The sequence below is a fragment of the Homo sapiens genome, chromosome 9 (genome assembly GCF_000001405.40).
Source record: "Homo sapiens chromosome 9, GRCh38.p14 Primary Assembly".
NCBI classification, from domain to species: Eukaryota; Metazoa; Chordata; class Mammalia; order Primates; family Hominidae; genus Homo; species Homo sapiens.
The window spans coordinates 108,087,833-108,108,064 of NC_000009.12; the positions used below are offsets into that span (position 1 = coordinate 108,087,833).

Genomic DNA, 20,232 nt, shown 5'->3' on the forward strand with positions numbered 1-20,232 from the left:
AGACCCCAGGTGGTGGTTCTCTCTGGACATGAGGTTCCATAATCTTAGAAACTGTTGTGATGCCAGCAGCCTCTAGGGTATCCATTTCCCTGCACAGACTGGAGTGAACAACATTAGCACACACCTGGCCAAGGGCCTGGAAAGAGGATGTTTGTGAAACACTAATAGAAGCTTCTGTGTAACATCACAGTGTTCCCAGCACTTCCTCGGGCAGAAGCCACATCCTGGAAACAAGCCGTGTACAGGTACATGAAGATGCAGTTGGCAACGTTCGTGTTTATTCCATTGAAAGCATGAAAGGCACCGGTCCTGAGGTCAGGAGTCCTGTGTGCTGGTCCTTGTTCTGCCTCTAAATACTTAGGTGGCTTTGGCAAAGTCCCTTCTCCTCCTGGGGACTCAGTTTTTCCATTTTTAAAATAGGGATGATAATAGTTTTACTCCATACAATGGTTGTGAGGGTTGAATTAGTTAACATTTGTAAAATGCCTTAAAAAGTGCCCATTGTAAATACTATATAAATAATGAACCCAGAAGTGTCACTAGTCTTTACAGTAACCTCTTTAGATAGGCATTCTCTAAAGGAATCTGAGGCTCAGGTAGTCAGTGAAGTCCCCAAGGTAATATACCTGGCCATCACCCCACTTTTCCACTGTCAGCAGGGCTAGATCAGCTATAAAATGACTTCCAATTCTGACATTCAGAGATCCCATCTTTATAAACTGACAACTTTGCCTGGATTACATGTGTCCCTTAGTTCTCGTGGGCACCAGCTAGATGTAGGAAAGGTTCACTCGCAAGGGGACCTCCAATTCTGTTGGTGATGTGAAAGGCCATTTTCAGCATCAGCATCTTGCTCTGTGTTCAGTGTGGCCTTGGAGGCTTTGACAGACCCTGACTATGTAACCTAGAGCTGCTGGGCCTCCTTTACATTAATGACGTGGAGCCTGGTTCTCCCAGCTCTGCGGCAATTCTAAATACATTCCAGGGTTGCCAAAATAAATGTCGAATCCTGATTCTCTCTTTGTAGTCCCTGTTTGTTAGGTCAACATCCCATAGCCTTCCAAGCTACTACAAATATTAGTGTCTGCTCCTCCCTTGTCCTCCTGTGTAATCGATCACCAATCCTGTCTTCAAGGTTAGTCCCATATGCTGCTTGAAATTTCTAAGTGAATCTGCATTATGTATGACATCTAAGCTTATCATTCTAGCACCTCAGGTGTTAGCTCCTCCCTACCTAGCTTCCTCTCCTACTCTCTCATTCTCCCTCCATGGGCTTCCCCTCACTGGCCTCCAGGGCGGCCAGCCCTCCATCTGTGAAGAACCTCTTGCTATAATCTGAACACGCCAGGTTGTCCTCAGTCTTCCTCATCTACACCAGACACTTCTGGGGAAAATGCCCACCCTTTCCTCCTCTCCTGTTATTATGGCTGAAGTGCCCCTCCTTCTGTCTATCTCTAGACCCCATGCATGCCCTGTTGCTTTCTCAGGGACTTCATCTTTCCTCTGTTTTCTTTATTTTTTTGCTTCCTTGTTCCTTTATATAAACTTAAAAATGCTCACTCCCTCCCATTTTAACAAAACTCCCCAATACCCATGTTTCACCCCAGCTATCACCCTTCACAGCCAATACTTTCTGCCACTAATTCTTAACCTCCTACTTACTCTTGAGTTCATTGTAATCTGATTTTTGGTCTTTCCATTTTACTGAAATTATTCCTTGCCATTGTTTCCTCAAACCATCTTTTTCCTAAATCTAAAAGTCTAATCATTCCCAAGGCATTTTTAATTTGACATTTCAAAAGAATGTGATACTCCCCACTTCTTTAAAGTCTCCCTTCCTTCATCCTGGAGTTTGTGGGGTTTTCTCCTCTCTCCTCGGCCACATATCCAACTTCACTTCCTCTGCCTCTACAGACTTCTCTTTTTCTTTCTTCCCTTTAAATGCCTTTCCCCCCTGCAATAATTCTACTAGTCAAGATGGGTTGAACTGCACTAACAAACACCGCTTAAGATCTCAGTGACACATATTTGTTATTTGTTTAGGCTACATACCCAATGCAAGTTGGCAATAGGACAAATCTGAGAACCATGGACAGTCATTCCGCTCTATGAGCAAGACTGACCACTAATCAAGAAAATTCCAACATTTTCCCAGCTAGACTTCAGAATGGCTCTGGTGACAACTTTCTTGAGTGTCTATAGTCATTACCCTATGTCTGTCCCACCACTGTGTCAGGGGCAGATAATTTGTCTCTTTCATTCCCAGGAGTTCAAATTGGGAGAATCTGTACTCAAGGAGCTATACGTAAAGAAGTATACCCAAGAAGATGTATTGACACCTAAACCTGATTTAGATGATGAGATTCCAGACTTCAAGCTGATTGGATAGAATGAGATTTTGGGGAGCCTTGGGGAGGGGCGAATGTGTTTTGGATGTGGGAGGCATGTGAACCATTGGGAGCTGGAGTCACACTGTCACAGCCAGCCTTCAAGATAGCCCTCATTTCCTAGCCTTCTAGTATTCACTTCCTTTTACAGACTCTGCCTCCATTGGATGGGGCTGGCCTGAGTAGCCAGTAGGATATTTCAGAAATGATGGAGTGTGATTTTGAGGGCAGGGCATAAAAGACACAGTGACTTCTGTCTTGTTCTCTGCCTCTGTTATCACTCCCAATGGGGGAAGCAAGAGACTATGTCATGAGGGCATCCAGCAGCACTGTGGAGAGGCCCACACAGCCACGAACAGGGACCTCTTGCCAACTGCTATGTGAGGGAGCCATGTTAGAAGCAGATCTTCCAGCACGTCACATCTTCAGTTGCAACTTTCATTGACTTTCTGATACCACTTCAGAAGAAACCTTAAGTCAGAAACTTCAGATAAGCTAAATTCCTGACCCTCAAATTGTGTCAAATGCGAGTGTCCATTAGCAAGTCTTCATCATCTCCATTTCTGCCCAGTCACATTAACTCTTGACTAAACCACTGCAGCCGCTTCTCTAATAGGTTTCTTTGCTTTCAAATTTCTTTCTTTTCTGAAATTCACTTTCCCTATGCGGACCTGAGTGAAATGTCAAAGTACGAATCTGCTGAAAATCCTCTGAAGATTTTCCAGTGCTCCTAGGAGAAATCCTAAACTTCCCAATGTGGCCTATGAGGGCTGCTTGATCTGACTGCTGCCGACCTTTCCAAAGTAGTTCTCAAGACTCATTCAATTCAAAATTCAGGCCTTCAAATGTCTTTCATTTTCTAGAATAAGCCTTCCTTTTTCTCGTTCCTTGACAAGACTTTTTGCACAAACTACTGTCTGCCCAGAACACTCCTCTGTTCTCTTTTCTCCCCCAGTTATTCTTCTCCCTTTGACCCCACATCTCTGAGAAGCCTGTCCAGACTTTCCTTGTCCAAGTCTGGGAAGCGACCCTCTTCTGTGCTCCATGACAATGTATATCATATCCTTGTCACAATATTATCCATCCCTATGATATTACAGTAACAGTAATATTAATAACTACTCATAACATGCTCTCTGGGACTACCCCTGTGTCATCTGAAGACATTTCCCCTACTCAAGAGCCTCTGCACCTGCCCTCAAAGATGCTCTTTGATCACAGAGCATGCTTGACTCACACTTAGGGCAGGCTAGAAGCACTGCAAAGTTAACCTCAATCAATGAGGGTTAAGAGTTGGTGAATAAATAGCCCATCTTCTTCATTTTAGTGGGCCCCTTCTGAGGTATGCTCTATGATATGTCTCAGAATTTCAATGGGATTAAGCCCCAGTTACCCAGAGGAGTTACCTGTCCATAAACATATCCTTCATTAGTGGTCTTTTTTCCCTCTGTGTCCCATCTCCACTCCCTCACAGCTTCTTGCATCTTTTCCCAAATAAACTACTAGTACACATACCCGTTCTCAGGGTCCGATTTGAGAGTTAACCACACTGGGTCACAACCACCTAGTCAACACTTACCAATGAGCTGGACACTGTGTTAAGCTCTTTATATGCATTATATAATTTAAGTCTCTTAACAACCCAATGAGATAAGTGCTAATTCGTAAAAATTATGGTAATAATACTTACTCAAAGCATTGTTGTGAAGATTAAGTGGAATAATGCATAAAAAGTGCTGAGAACTTGGTAAGACTGGAGGAGAAGACAAACTTGAAGAGTTTAGCACAGCCTTTGGCAGAGTAAGCAATCGGTCATTTGCCCAGGATCACACAGATACTAAGTGATAGATTTTAACCAAATTCTGCCAGATTCCAAAGTCCTATACTGTCTTGTCAGCTGTAACCTTCCCTTCAATTATTTTCTACAGGTGACTGCAGGCTCCATGGGAATAGGAACCATGTTTATTATATTTAGTTTTATTCCCACACCTTGACATTCAGTAGATAGCAAAATATTTGTGTTGAGAACAATCTATTCTTCCCCCTCAAATCTGTTTTATATTTAGTTTATATTCATTACTCACAATAACTTTTCTTTGAGTCATTACTGAGAATAATTATAAAAACTATATATAAAAACAGCATGTCATCTTCAAAAAGTTGAATTTTTCTCTTATTTTTTTTCTTTTCCGGAAAATAGTGTATTTCCATTTCAGGAAGGCAGCATATTTAGTGGTAAGGTCATGCTGGTTTTGAAGTCTGAAGGACTTGGTTCAAATCTTGTATTTTCAACTCTATGACCTTGGAAAAAATACTTAGCCTCTCTGATTTGTAGTTTTCTCATCTATAAAAGAGGAATATTGTACCTCCCATACTAGTTATTTACTGTTGCATAACAAATTACCTCAAAACTTAGTAGTTAAAGACAACAAACATTTACTATCTCACATAGTTTCTGAGGGTCAGTAATCCAGGAGTAGCTTAGCTGGGTTGTTTTAGCTCGAGGTATCTCATAAGGTTGCAGTCAAGTTGTCGACTAGGACTGTCATAATCCGAAGGCTTGACTGGGGCTGAAGATTCACATCCAAGCTCACTCATATACTTGTTGGCAAGACTCTCAGCTCCTCTCCATGACAGCCTCTCAGAGTATGGCAGCTAGCTTTCCCCAGAGAAAACCATCTAAGAGGGAGGGAGAGGTAGCCACCAAGACAGAAGCCACTGGGTCTTTCGTAACCTAATCTTGGAAGTGTCATACCATCACTTCTTCCATATTCTGTTGGTTGCAGAGACCAATCCTAACACAGGGTAGAAGGGGGAACCACACAAGGAAGTGAATACCAGTAGGTGAGATCACTGGGGCCATCTTGGAGTTTAAGCACAACATCTCCCATATGGAGTTGTAATGAGGGTTTTTATGTGCCTAGAACATAGCTATCTCTCAAAAAAAAAAATTCTGTTTTATGGACTCATGGGAAGATACATGAGTTTTAGAACCTGAGGAACACACTTAAAAATTTAGAGTATAGTAGTCATCCCGGCACAATTACTATCAAACAAATCTAGTTATTAAATTTCACATCCTGCTGAGGACTTAGCCAGCAATACTAATGACAGCCAAAACTACAGAGCTTCTCATAGTTTCCAATATTTTGTTTACATTGATCATTAGTTTTAATTTTATGCCATCATATATTTCATTTAGTTCAGCAACTCAAAAATGTATCAGTTATTATGGTCACACTTTCCAAGTAAGGACAATGAGCTTTAGGAAGGTTATGTGATTTGTCTAAGGACACACAGCTATCCAGTGATGAAGTGAAGATTCACCCCAGGACTCATGACTCCAAAGTCTCTTCTCTTTTAATTATCTCATGCTGTATTAGTGCTAAGTCAAACTCATTTTATAAAAAATAAAAAGAGAAGAGGAGGGAGCGTCATCAATATTGCCCTTTCCAGGAATTTCTACATAAGCTGACAGCAGTTTCCTTGGGGTTCTCTTTTCTGTGGTTATCAATTGTTAAACGGCCCAGGATCTCTCAGAGCTCATCCAGGTATGTGCATAGAGCCCTGAAATGCTGATATTGCCTTAGGGGGTTATTTGTTTTTTATAGCCCCACAGGCCATAGCTGGTGCATTTGCCTGAGCTTCCTCATCCTTTGTACATATACCCAGGGAGGAGAAGGTGAATAGATAAGATCTTTCAGCCTGCAGATTTCCAGTAATAAAAGCAAATGCTTTCTGTTGAGACCCAGCTGAGACTGGAGGTGGTGAATAAGGGCTGTATGTGTAAGCACTGTAGGCTTCTGGCCAGTAAAGAATCCAGACACAGCCTGCACCCTCCTGGCCTCCTGGAACTCTAAGAGCACAGAAGGACAGGGTACAGACCTATGGAGTATGACACTTATTCCAGGGACTTTGACCTGCTACATTTACAGGTCATGACAGCTTTGATGCTGCCTCTGGGGAAGGGCCACCATTCAACTTGCCAAGAGAAGAACCAAAGGAACAAAGGCATGAAGCTCTGGGATCATGGCTGGGCCAAGTTACTGACAGTACTATTTGCATAGTTCTGGTCACTTTCCAAATTACCTCTCACTCAGCCTCACCACAGCCCTTATCCACAGAGCCACCTGGGGTGGAATGGGAGGGGCTTTTCTTATCCCCATCCAACAGATGAGGAGACTGTGACTCAGAGAGGTGAATGACTTGGGCAAAGTCTAACAACAGTAACCACAGAGTAATGATTTCTAAGCTACTAATTAACTTTCTAACCATCTACCCATAAGGAATTGGCCTGTAGGTTGAAAAGGCATTCCTGAGTCTCTGTATACCACACACCAAGGATTAATATTCCAAGTAATCATTTTAGAATTTAAAAGTGCAATAGTTAAAATAAAGAAAATAAGATACTGGACACGTCTATTAAAGAAAAACATCAGAATAAACACATCAGAAGACTGACTCATTGGGCGTGGGGATCAGATTCCTTCTAAAAGTCATCATGAAGGAGAGTGGAGAAACATTAAGGAATATGGAAGATAGAAATGGAACTGCCAATATTTGAATAACAGAAGTTCAAGAAATAGAGAAGTAGAGGCAGCAACAAAGGGAGGAAAATACTTGGAAAAAATATTAAAGATAGATTTTCTAAAAGAAGAAACAAAGGAAATACGGAAGAGAGACTTTGGAATCAAAGTGTCAAATAGGATTTCAAACCCCAAATAAATGTGATTTAATGGAATTTGAAAACATCATAGAGAAAATTCTATGAGCTTCCAGAGGAAAAGAACTTATCACTTTGCAAAAGGACAAGACTCAGAGATTAACCACTGGTATAAGAAGATGATGGAACAATATTTTTAAAGTATTAAATGACTATAACTTTAATGCTAGAATTTTATAACCTCCAAAATTTTCACTTAAATGTGATGGGACAGTAAAGATATTTTCAGGCATTCAAAACCTCAGTAGTTTTACCACACAAAACTTCACTTTGAAAACCCTCCGTGCTTCATTTGATCCTCACAGGTCTGTGATGTGATGGTGGTTAATACTGTCCTTAAAGGCAAGATTAAAATGGTGGAATCACCTATCCATGGTCACACACTTGGGACTCACAGCCAGGTCAGAACTGTGCAAATCTCCTTTTACTCTAGGATGTTGTCTCCTTGATGAAGCAGAAAGGAAGGTCATATAACTGCTCTCACAGCTTTCCTACCTGCCCTTGCCACTCAAGGGAATTCTAGAACTGCCCCCTGCTTCCCCACGTCCATCTTCTCAGGACTCCTGTTTTTCTACCAGAGAGACAAAGTCAATCTATACAATCTATATAATCAAGGAATGAGAAAACATTCCCTGGGGACAAAGAGAAAGAAACACACAGGCTGAGTTGTGTGGGAAAATGTCAGAAAAAAAACCAGGATGGGAAGCTGCTCTGGGATATAAGGAATCTGTGAGGAATAAGGGAAAGTCATTCAGAGCTATAGAAGATCAGGAATGGTGTCCCACTGATGTTCTCTAAGAAATGCAAATAGAGGTTTTGAGTAACATTGTAGTTGCTTTTCTTTTATTCTTTTCTTTTTTTTTTTTTTTTTTTTCTGAGATAGAGCCTCATTCTATCACCCGGGCTGGAGTGCAGTGCTCAGTCTCAGCTCACTGCAACCTCCCCCTCCCAGGTTCAAGTGATTCTCCTGCCTCAGCCTCCCAAGTAGCTGAGACTACAGGTGAAGACCAACACACACTGCTAATTTTTTATTTTTAGTAGAGATGGGGTTTCATCATATTGAGCAGGTTGGTCTCGAACTCCAGATCTCAAGTGATGTGCCACCTCAGCCTCCCAAAGTTCTGGGATTATGGGTGTGAGCCTGGGATTATGGCCCCTGGCCACAGTTGCTTTGAATTGTTGGAGAAGTATTTCCTTGGAAGTGAAATTGATCTGGGATTGGACTTTGTGGGTTCCTAGATTTGTAAGGAACATACCTATAACTGTGTAATAGCTTATCTGCTGTGGAGCAGACTTCCTTCACAAAAGGGATCCTGAAATAATAATAATAGTAATAATGAAAAGATAGTGACCCTGAATGTGTGCTCCAGTGGTTGAAACCTTTGATTTCTGTCGGGTATGTTAGGGGAGCAGGGAGGTAGCCCACCATCTGTATTTGTCTTTTTTCTCCTTTTGTTTCTACTTAACCATTTTCCATTCCTCATTGCCTTTCTCACTGTGACAATGCTTTATTTCCACAGGGCAGTTTATTGTTATGGACCAAGCAAGGGTCAGGCCAATTTGAGTCCTAATCTCAAACCCTCACTAGTCTTGTCCCTTGATCTTAGATAAATTACTTTTTTTTTTTCCAGGTAGAAATCATGTTTCCTTTTAACTGAATACTTAATTCACAACTTTTTTTCCTCTTGGTTGCTACTCTGGTAATAATTATGCCCCCACCTATCAAGAACACTGCATCTGACCAGACTGAGAGCCAGTGTGAACATGGGCCCCAAACCAAGGCTTTCAGAATAATAAGGAACAGCAAAAACCAGCCTCTCCCCTCACTTAGAAAGGGGCTATGATTGGGAGGGTCCAAATTTTCACCATCCAAACACAGAAAACCAGAAACTCAATGCCAACATGGAAACCAGAATGTATCAGGAATGAAGTACAGTACCCCCTCATATACACAAGGTCAAGATGGGTTTGGAGAAAGATATATTTGACCATCTGGCCTCTTCTAGTAGATAGGGCCCCAGCCTAGCATTTTTAAAGGAAGATATTTTTGTTTCTGTTACTTGCATTACTTCTCAAAGGGGTATACAATCTACTAAATGGGATATAATGAAGGAGAATAAATCTTCTCACACACAAGAAACATTGCTGGATAATGATTTTTAGTTGCTGAAAATCAGCGCATTATTTAAAAGTGGCAAAAATTCAAGGCAATCTGAGGAAGAATTCAAAAGTGGTGGCTACATTTGCTGGCAGGTTTAGGTAGGACATGCACACTTAAAACTCCCATTTTTTTTTTTTTTTTTTTTTTTTTAGTGTATATGTCAAGAGGCCAAAACCTCTGATCATCAAAATAAGCAATTTTGTATATTACAGTGCACAGGACAACAGAGGGAAAGAGGCTCTCTTGGAGAGTGACTAAAAGGTCTTTTGCAAAAGATTTGTATTACTTTGAAGTGGAAGGACTGGAGCCCAGGGCCATGTGGCCTTCATTAACTTGACCCTTCCTTTTCTTTGGTTGCAGTAGCCTCATTGGGAGCTGTTTCTTCTACATGTTCTGCTGGCTTCTCCTCTACCTCTTCCTCCCCTTCTTGGGGATAGAGATCTGGATATTCCTGCCTGCCTTCCTGCATGGCTCGGAACTGGTCTACACAGTCTGACCCCTTGACCTGCTCATGTTATGGTGGAAGCAGGAAAAGGCTGCCTTGAACTGTTCCCTGTAGGAGCCATTGGCCATTCCCCCAAGGAAGAGGCAGTGCCAAAGTCTCCCATTTGGCAGCATCAATCCATGCTTCTCCTAGGGAGGGATCGTTGGGGTCATCAGCCACCAGCTCTGCAATGCTTGGAGTTTTGTAGTCTTCTTTGGTCACAAATATGATGTGATCCTTCTGTTCCTGTCAGCAGTAGGACATGGCTGCAGCCCAGCCCTTAGACCTCATAGAAGGAACAGTGGCTGTTGCAGCTTCACGCGATGACCTCCCTCTCCTCAGGCAGGGCAGGTGCCTCTGAGGCCTGTGCAGACCGGAGATAAATTACTTAATCTTCCTGGATCTCAATTTTTTTTGTCTGTGGAATGGATTAAATCATAGCCATTCCCTGGCAGAGTTATTGAGAGGACTGCATGAGGTAATGAAGGTGAAGCCCCCGGCCAAGAGTGAGTGTCCACACACCTTCACCCTCATTCCCTTTTGACTTGGCTCCTTCATGAGGCACTTTCTGTTATCAGTTAATGCAGAACCAATAAAGGACATGAGGACTCTTGACCATCAGTAAACTGATGCTCAAGGATCCCTTTCTTGCATCTCATTGACTCTTCCACAAATGAACCTTTTCCCTCTTGAACATCAGCTGATCATCTTCTGAAAGGCCCTGCCTCAATTCTGAAACTCTACTCTGTCTTAAAAGTAGCAGTGATGGGAGACATCCTTCATCTCTATGTGATCTTCAAGAGAATGTATCTAAAGTTTCTCCAATGAGTATGATGTTTGCAATAGATTTTTGATATGAAACCTTTATCCTTGGTTGCTGAAATTCATGTTTGTTTTTGTTTTCTCTTGTGATCAGAAGTAGACACTGAACATATCACATGATTTTCTTCACGTATCAGGTAATCATATGCAGTTTTCTTTTATATATTGATACAGATAAATTATTTTTATAGATTATCTGATGTTAAAACATACATTCATTCCCCCCAAAAACCTTACTTAAGTATAAGATATATTCTTAATTGGCTAGTGAACTTGTATTATTCAGATCAGGTAATCACCTATTGATTTTTGGATATTTCATCTGTTGTGTTTTTTAAAGAGAGGTGTTTAAAAATCTCTAATTATAATTGCTGCTATATGTGTTGCTTCTCACAGTTTTATAAATTATATATATGTATTTGGAGGCTACATTTTAGAGGCCTATGTGCTCATGATGGGTCTTTCATCTTGCTCTGTTGGTTTAGAATATTTTTCTTTAAGATATTGTTTCCCTACAGTTTTCAAGACTGTTATTCCAGATTTCACTTGCTTCATATTGGCATGATATTTCTTTTCTCATCCTTAGATTTTGAAATTTTCTTGCATCCTTTTGATTTGTGTGTCTGTCGACCACACAATTTGTGTTTTTAAAAATCTCAATGGAGACTCTGTCTTTTAATTGGTGAGCTTAACCATTTACATCTATTTTAATTACCGTAATATTACATTCTTGTGTGCTTTCTATTATGAAAGCTTTTGACAATAAAATACAATTAAACTCTTAAATACAAAGTTTGATTTATTCAATGCAAAACATCTGTTGTTTCTTTTTTCTCTTTCCCTTTTCCAGTTTACGTTGTTAATATCAATGTTTAAATATGCTAATAGTATTTTAAATGTATTACTATTTATGTCTTTCATAAAAATACAGGTTGTGCAGCATGTTCTCATGTTACTTTTATCTTTAATCCTACCCTCAGCCCCACCTCTGCTGTGACTTGTCTAAAATTATAATTCTGTTTTTCTTATGTTTTCTTTAGTGCTTGTCTTTAAAAAAAAAAAAAAGACAACAACTTTATTAAGTAACCTGATCACTCCTTTCTATACCTCTTCAAGTTCCCTCCTGTATTTATTTTTGTTTTTATCTGCTCATTTCATTTCTACCAGGAGTGTTTTCAAAGTGGAGTTTTGGGTAGTAAAACTTCTAAGTTTGCTTCATAGGGATGCACTTTTATTTGTGATTCCTACTCTACCTTGAAAAACCATTCAATGGGGCCGGGTGCGGTGGCTCATGCCTGTAGTCTCAGCACTTCGGGAGGCCAAGGTGGCCAGATCACGAGGTCAGGAGATCGAGACCATCCTGGCTAACATGGTGAAACCCCGTCTCTGCTAAAAATACAAAACATTAGCCAGGTATTGTGGCAGGCACCTGTAGTACCAGCTACTCGGGAGGCTGAGGCAGGAGAATGACATGAACCCAGGAGGTGGAGCTTGCAGTGAGCCAAGATCACACCACTGCACTCCAGCCTGGGTGACAGAGCAAGATTCCGTAAAAAAAAAAAAAAACTATTCAATGGGATAATCTTCTGCCCCAGTCAGCTCTCATTGTTCACTTCCTCGTAGGTCAGAGTGCAACAGGCCCTTTGAAATCATAATCTCAATGCTGATACTTGAATGTGTCCACTCCCAGAAATGAATCACAATGCCAAATTTGGGTTAGTGTCAAGCCTTCCCCCACTCTTATTTTGAGCTGTTTGGCTTTGAAGCCAGCAATGGCATGAAGGGCATGGCTGGATTCTTCATTTCTCCATCTGTCCTCCACCTGGGGCACTCTGGCCTTCAATCCCCTTACTGGTTTCTGTTTTGATTTCCCTCAAGTTCTCAGGTTGTGGAGGAAGACAGAGGAGGGATAAATTCAGGTAAGTATTTTTGGAATGAATTTTATTCTAAGCTGATTCTGAGCTCTCTGGATCAGGCAAGATCCAGATGCCTACAAGCTCACTCTTTTTTTACTGGGCATTTTTGTGGGTTCTTTGAAGGGTCCCTCCTAGGCCCTTCTATCCTTCAGTTCCTGGACAGGAGTGGATGTACCACTATTCTAGCTGGTCTCTTTCAATTCTTTCCTCAGTCTTAGGATTGCAGAGATATCCATCTCCCCAACTACCACCACCACTTCCTTCCCTACCTCAAGATGACACTACTGAAGATGTGGAAAGATACACCTCCCCGCTCCCCCATAACCCATACCCACACACACACAAACGCACACACAGGCTTTTCTCCTGCACATGGCCCACTACTGGGCCACAAAAAGTACCCACAAATCCCTTGTTCCAACAACCGGAGAAAGCAGACTGATAACAGCAAACATTCTCTCCTGGCTCTGCCCCAAGCTCTTAATCTCTCACTCCCTAGAATTCCCAGGCATGTGGGAAAATGCGGGACACCAATTTCTACATCAACCCACTGCAGGGAACAAAACTCAAAGCTCCGCAATGGTCCTACTGAAGTCCCCCTCACTCGTCTGGAGTTGAAAAGAACTCAATGGAATAGTTCCCTCCAAAGAACTCCCTTCACAAAATCTGCCCTTTCCTCATTTAGTAAAGAAGTGCTGGAGGGCATTCAATAGACAAACAACAGCTTGAGTTTTTGGTGTCAACTTGCCTAGTTTCAAATACTTGTGTTATGGTCTTGGCTGAGTTATCTTCTCTATGCCTCAGTTTCATTATCTGTAAAATGTGGATAACATCAGGACTTAGCTACAAAATTGCTGTAAGGATTAAACAGGATAACGCATTGGAGAACACTTACAGACAAACAGAAAGTGCCAGCTGTTATTCTTAAAACAAACTGCAAATCTCTGTATAAATAGTAGATTTATCATTATAACATAATGACCCAATAGGTTCCTCATGATTTTGGAATCAGAATTTATAAATTTTCCTGACTCCATGAGCTTAAGTATGCATAAGCTTGAATCAGCTTGAAGGAAACCCCTAGATAATTTTTATCATTATTTCCATATAATCTGCTGACAAATTACAAATGGTTTTCAAAATTGCAAACTGCAGTGATAACATTTTTACAGAAAATAAATAGAGCTGCTACTTCCTCACTGTCTGGTGTGATCATCCATTTATCTCCCTGGCTGCTGGGAACATTGATGACAGGGGCTTGAGATATCCTTTCTTCCTTCTGAGACTGACAAATACAAATTTATCAAAATTCAGTTGAAATGTCATCTTTGGTTTGGTGAAAGCTGACTTAACCAACTCCTCCAAACACAATTGTTTTCTTCCCTTCTCTACATTCTGATATGATTTTGTACAGTTCCCCCTTCTTATCTAACTCTAGCGTGTCTGGTTTCTGACTGTCTATGGCCCCTTGGATTGAACTTCTGTCCTTACTCTTAAATATGACCTTGACTCTAGGTACTGTTCCTCACACACCCATTTCATCCACACTTGATGGTAGTGTGACCATAAATATGCTGGTTCATCTCCCTTTCCCCCCATGATAATTTGATTTTGGCTCTCAGACCCTTCATTTATATCTGATACCCCAGGGTCTCCTAATCTGGAAGTTTAGAAATGAAAGATAAGTGTAATTACAAGCTAAGAGAGCATAGGGAAAGCAATTCCTACATCTGGGAGTGGAGAGGGTTGGGAAGAAGGGAAGGGAAGGGGTCTAAAATATGTTTCTGGAAGGCATTGTTTTCCAGGTGGAGGTGTCCAAGTGTAAACTTACGTAAGCTAGACAAAACAGCCTTGGCAAGGCAGAGAGACATGGAGAAGGTTGCTGTGACAGCCACATGAGGAGAGTTGATGTGTGGAAGTATGGAATGGGAGCCCCAGGGAGAATGATGGAAGGTAACACTAGGCAGAGGGCATGAAGGTCAACGAATGCTCGTAATGAGTTGGTTTTGTTATTTAGGCTTTGTGGAGACATCCAAGATTGTTAAATGGGGAGGGGGTGGTGAAAAGATAGAATCTCTATTTCAAAAAATATCACTCTGACTACCCTGAGGTTGGCTTGGAGGGAGTATGCAATAGCATCAGCCTGGAAGAGCCAATCCTTCCATCTGTCACAGCACAGTGGATGTCTATCATCCCATTAACAGCCATTCATTATTTTATGGCTGAGGAGTGTCTCCAAGAAGTCAGATACAATAAGGAGAATTATTTGCATGGTGTGTGTATGTTGGGGAGTAGGGGACTCACAAGGGTGCAGAGAAGGGGACTCAGAAGGGTGCAGAGAAGAACGCACAGGATGTTTAATCCTGATAAATACAGGAGAATGCAGTCTGTGGGCTTCACTCTGGAAGAAAAGATGCTTATGAGGATATTGCTGAGAAGCAAAATTATATGTATACACCATAGGCAGAGCAGAGACAGGAGAGAAGGAATCCAGAGAGATCAGAAGATCTTATCCTGGACTTTGTGCTACGAGAAGGAGGAACTGTGCTTGGTTGGTCTATTTGCTTGTTCTGATTTTGGCATTTCTCTGGGCCCTGTTCCTGCTGCTTTGCAGAGAGGAAGGTAGTCACTGGCAGATACACCTCTCCTTCTGACTGGAATCCTCTGTTCTTGGTTGAAGGCCACAGTTGAAATCTAGCCTCTTCTGCCCTGTGCTGGATAAGATGGCAAGGGGGTAAGAGCTTGCTTAGCAGCTTGAATGGAGAACTGAATGCTGACTTTCTAACATTTTTTACTTGTTCTTGTGGCCCAGGGCCTTTAAGAGACTGGTATGGAGGGGGACTCTGGATATGGAGTTCAATTGACTAATACTCTGTTTTGTTTCCAAGTTCAGAAATATGCACAACCATGTCCTGATCTTAAGAATTGTAAATTCATTCTCTGGTCTCCAGAGCAAAGGAGTTACCAGAAAGCATTCCATCACTATGAAATCCTAATTGTGGCCCCAGGTCATTAGATTTCATAAATCAGTGTGCCTGAGTAATGGCTTAAGAGACTTTATTTTCAGGACAACTGATGCGATTATGAGAAAAGCTCCTAATGACTGATATATCATGGCAGTATCTTAATTACCAGAGAATTCATAGGAAGCACCTGATAGCTCTACAGATGATTTGATTAGAAACCACATTTTAAAATCTCTTCTCAATGAGTCAGTGACAGCATCCTTTGGGAGCCAAGTCTTAGTGTATAAGGTCTCATGCACAAAAAAATCTCAATGTTGAAGATAAACAAAACTCTGTTAAAACCACAGCTTTCAATATCTAGTCTTAAGAAAATGGTCACATTTTCTGGACTAAAAGCTTCCAGGCTAAGGAGAAGCTGAAATTAAAATGCTATTTTAGCTGCATTTTTTTGTTATTCATCCATCACTGTAGCTAGAGGTCATGGAAATCCCATGGCACGGTATATGAGGTCCCATACCACATGACACCAACCTATTCATTCACGTATATATTTAGCAACAAATAGCTACTGGGCCCCTGGAACAGCTACGTGCCAGGTGCTTTACTGGATGTTAAAGCAGTAACAATGGTGAGCAAAAACAAATATAGTATCTTGCCTTCTTAAGCTCACAACTTTTTTAGAGCAGCTATACCTCATCAGTAAATTACCCAAATAAATATAAAAGAGCAGATATTGGTGCAGTGAAATAGATAACTTGTGAAATTGACATATATTGATCAGAGAAACCTGGCTTTCTGAAAAAAATAATTATTGGGCTGAGACCCAGAAGAAGAGTGGGGAATAGTTGTTTAGTGAGGGATGGTTAGGGCAAGGGTTGGGTAGCAGGAAGTGAAGGTGGGGACTGCATTTGGGGCACAGGGAAAAAGGCACAAAGGGCCTGGGGCAGAATGGAACTGGAAAACTGTCGTGTGGTTGGAGAGCCATGGGAGTATATGTTAATATATAAAAAAGTAACTTATTATTAACGACCGTGGGTGCTATGCAGGCAGATAAATAATTCAGACAATAAATGTTAAAAGAGAAAAAGAGCTGGAATAGTTTCAAAGAGTATCAAGTGGGCTGGAATCTGGCTTGAAAGGAATCCATAAGGGGGTGTGGAATGGGAGGTGGGTGGCATTTAACTGAGGCTCGAGGTTTTAGAAAGGGCCCTGGGGAGAGGTGGGGTGTGAATTGAGAACCGAAAGACTGGGAACTAGTCATGAAAATTGGTCAGAGGAGAGTGAAATAAAACGGTGCCGCTCAGGATGGCTGGGGTGAGGTACATGGTGAGGGCCGGTACAGAAGAAGAGGCTGGGGAAGTAGGTGCAGGCCAGGTAATGAGAGGCCTTGAAGGTCAGCAAAGGACTTGCAGCCTGGAGAGAGCCAAAGAATGAGAGAATGGTAGGCATTAGGAAGTGTTGAACCAATGGGGAGCTGGAGTGGATTAAACACAGTCAATCCCATTTATACCAGTCACAGCAGATTGGCATAAAACCTATACCAATAAAGGCTATTGAATAAAACCTATCTGCACATCTCTAGCTTCTCCCCTTGAACTGGAAAGTGGTGTTTGTGAGAATGAATGGACAAAGCATATTTTACCTGGAAAGGGGAAGGAGAGGCGTGAGTGTGTGTGCATGTACGTGTGCTTGGGTGTAGAGTACAGGGTGTAGAGCCTGAGAAATGTTTTCAAGTATGTGACAACCTCTGGATCTGGGATGAATATGCCCTTTGAAATCCCTTCAATGGCTACTAGAATGGAAACTAAACTCCCCCAAGAGTTCAAGTCTTTTATTCCCAGCTTTCTAGATGCCTTTCTCACACGCACATGTTCTCACTTGTCACTCCAGTCAAAGTAGGTCACCTGGCATCTCACTTCCTCATATGGCTTTCCTCACCTGGATTGTTTTCTCTCAGACCCCACCCATCTAGCTATCCAAATCCTTCCAAGTACTGCCTGAAATATTACTTCCAGAAACCCTCCAGATCTCCTACCAGAAGGCTCCCCTGTTCTTCTGAACCCATATGGTATTTGTACCCCCTTGTGTCTTATATATGGGGGAGAGTGTCTGAATCACAGGCCCTGATACAGATTTAACAGATATTCGGTATATATATTCAAGTGAATGATTTTGAATAAATCAACAGATATTAGCATTTGTGTTCCTCTTTTCTTTTTACTTGGAGTAAGGTCCCAGGAGATGTCTTACTCCTCTCTGTAGCCTTCACAGTACAAGACAATAAAAAACACACAAAGAGGTTTAGGTGCTGTGCTTTTTGCATGGTTTAAATTAATGAATCAATAATTCAGACTCAAAGCAAATTTGATGACATCATTCAGTGGTTCTCAATTTTGGATGGAATTGTTCCCCTGGAGGTGCGTGTTTGGGAATGTGTAGAGCATTTCTGGCTGACTTAGTTGCAGGTGGGGGTACTACTTGCATTTAGTAGCAGGGATCAAGAATGATAAAAACCCTGCAACCCAAGGCAGAGTCCAGCACAACAAAAAAGTTATTCCACCTGCACCATTAAAGAAGAACTGCCTGCTCTAAATGATATTGAGAGAATAGAAAATGTTTTGAACAAAATTGTAGACACTTCTCCTCTGGGGAAATTAAAAGAGAACAAGAGAATGTTGTCCTGATGGCCTCTCTCAACCCTGCCCAGCCCTGACATACTAAACTCCTGGGGAATGTAAAATTCAGGCCAAATGATCCAGACACAGGAGACCCACCCCTTTGGTTCCTGCAGGGGCAGCCTCAGCGTTCCTTGCTCCCATCAGAAAGGTCTTAGGGCCGAACTGCGCTCCCTCTGGCCAGGAGAGAGGCTGTCCCTCTGCGTGTATTTTACTCTCAGGGTAACAACTCAGAGAAAATGTGGACATTTGCATTGGCACTCAGGTGCTGTCATAAGGCCTGCCGTCAGCCTGTCCTAGAGTCTTTTTCTTTTTCTTTTCTTTGAACTAAGTAAACAGCAGGAGTCAGCTATAGGAAGCAAGCTATGAGGGGTGGAGGAGATTTGAGGTGGTGTCAAGGATAAGGGTGACAGAATGTCTGAAAGGAGAAGTGACAAACTTGGCTGACTTTGGAGCCCCTTCCCAAATCACCAGGCTAAAACTGACCACTGCCTCTCTTACGTTATATATAGAGTTTCATATAAATATATATGAATACAAGTATTATATTTATGAGATTATATATAAATACAAGTATTATATTTACAAGATTATAAATATACATTTACTAATATAAAAATATATAGTTATAGTCTCAATCACAAATAATTTCATGACAATGTATTTTGATATACAATATTATAATAATATCAGTACATTATTAGTGTATTAATTTAACAACACATTAATGTATTAATACATTAATATATTAACATATTAATATATATTATAATTGTTATATTAATGTTTATTATGATGAATAATTTTGTGATTCCTGCTAATCTTGGAGCTCCCGGAGAATACTGAAAATATTTTATTTATTCCTGTATTCCCAGTACCTAGGAGAACACCTGTCCACTTCCTCCATTCATATACATTTCTGTTTTACTCCAAAGTACATATGATTTTACAATTATGCTTTTGCCACAATTTATAGCACAAAATCTTGACAGCAGTGACTATACTGTACTCCCTTCTGTGTCCCCTGAATCAGAGTTCCATATACCCAAGAAATGTTCAGCAAATTTTGGTTGAATCAAATCAAACTGAAGACGTAAGAATAAACAGCATTGAAATCTCTAGTCTGAATGATCAGATGCACGATAGTACCATAGAAAAATATATATATTTAAGAAAAAGAACTATGTGAGCTAAAGGAATAAAGGGGTTCTAACATATTTCAGGAAATTAATTAAACACCCTGGAAGGGAGTGAGTTTTTTGACAAAAGGAAATGCTTAGGCAGGGGGGGCAATTTTGACAGAAGAGATTTAGAGACTTAACCATCGATTTGTAGCAAATGGACTAGTTCCAGAACTTTGGGAGGCCGAGGCGGGTGGATCACGAGGTCAGGAGATTAAGACCATCCTGGGTAACACGGTGAAACCCCGTCTCTACTAAAAAAATACAAAAAAAAAAAATTAGTCAGGCATGGTGGCAGGCACCCGTAGTCCCAGCTACTCAGGAGGCTGAGGCAGGAGAATGGCGTGAGCCCGGGAGGCGGAGCTTGCAGTGAGCCGAGATCACACGACTGCACTCCAGCCTGGGCAACAGAGCGAGACTCCATCTCAAAAAAAAAAAAGAAAGACAGTAGACTAGTTGTCCAGGGCCATTGATTAGAAACATCCCAGAAGCAAATGGAAAAGGAAATGTTCAGAATGTAGATTCAGTCACAGTCTTAAGAATACCCTGTTGATAGGTACAGCAAACCACTATGGCAAACGTTATCCTATGCAACAAACCTGCACATCCTGCACATGTGCCTGGAACTTAAAATAAATTAAATTAACAAAAGAATATCCTGCCTTGACAGGCTAGTCCAGAATGATGCGCTGAAGAAGGCACTAGGAATACAGAGAGAAATAAAATACATTACCTACCTTCAAATTATTCCTAAAGCTATCTGTTTCTCATGGTTTTATAAGCCAAGATATTCTATTTGAACTCTTTCAAGTTAGACTTTTACAATCTAAAATTAAGGAAATCTGGGTTAATGTAAACATTTACCATTGTTTTTCTCAACATATCATTTTTTTAAAAAGGCTTTTGATTTCTTGAAT

At 41.1% G+C, this 20,232-nt stretch overlaps 1 long non-coding RNA gene and 1 pseudogene across 3 annotated transcripts in view; both read right to left on the reverse strand.

Annotated features, from left to right (window-relative positions):
- The window catches only part of LOC105376214 (uncharacterized), a 401,533-nt gene that overhangs the window by 44,588 nt on the left and 336,713 nt on the right, over positions 1 to 20,232 (reverse strand). The gene's annotated exons all lie outside the window — the stretch shown is intronic.
- On the reverse strand, positions 9,414 to 10,130 carry CHCHD4P2 (coiled-coil-helix-coiled-coil-helix domain containing 4 pseudogene 2; annotated as a pseudogene).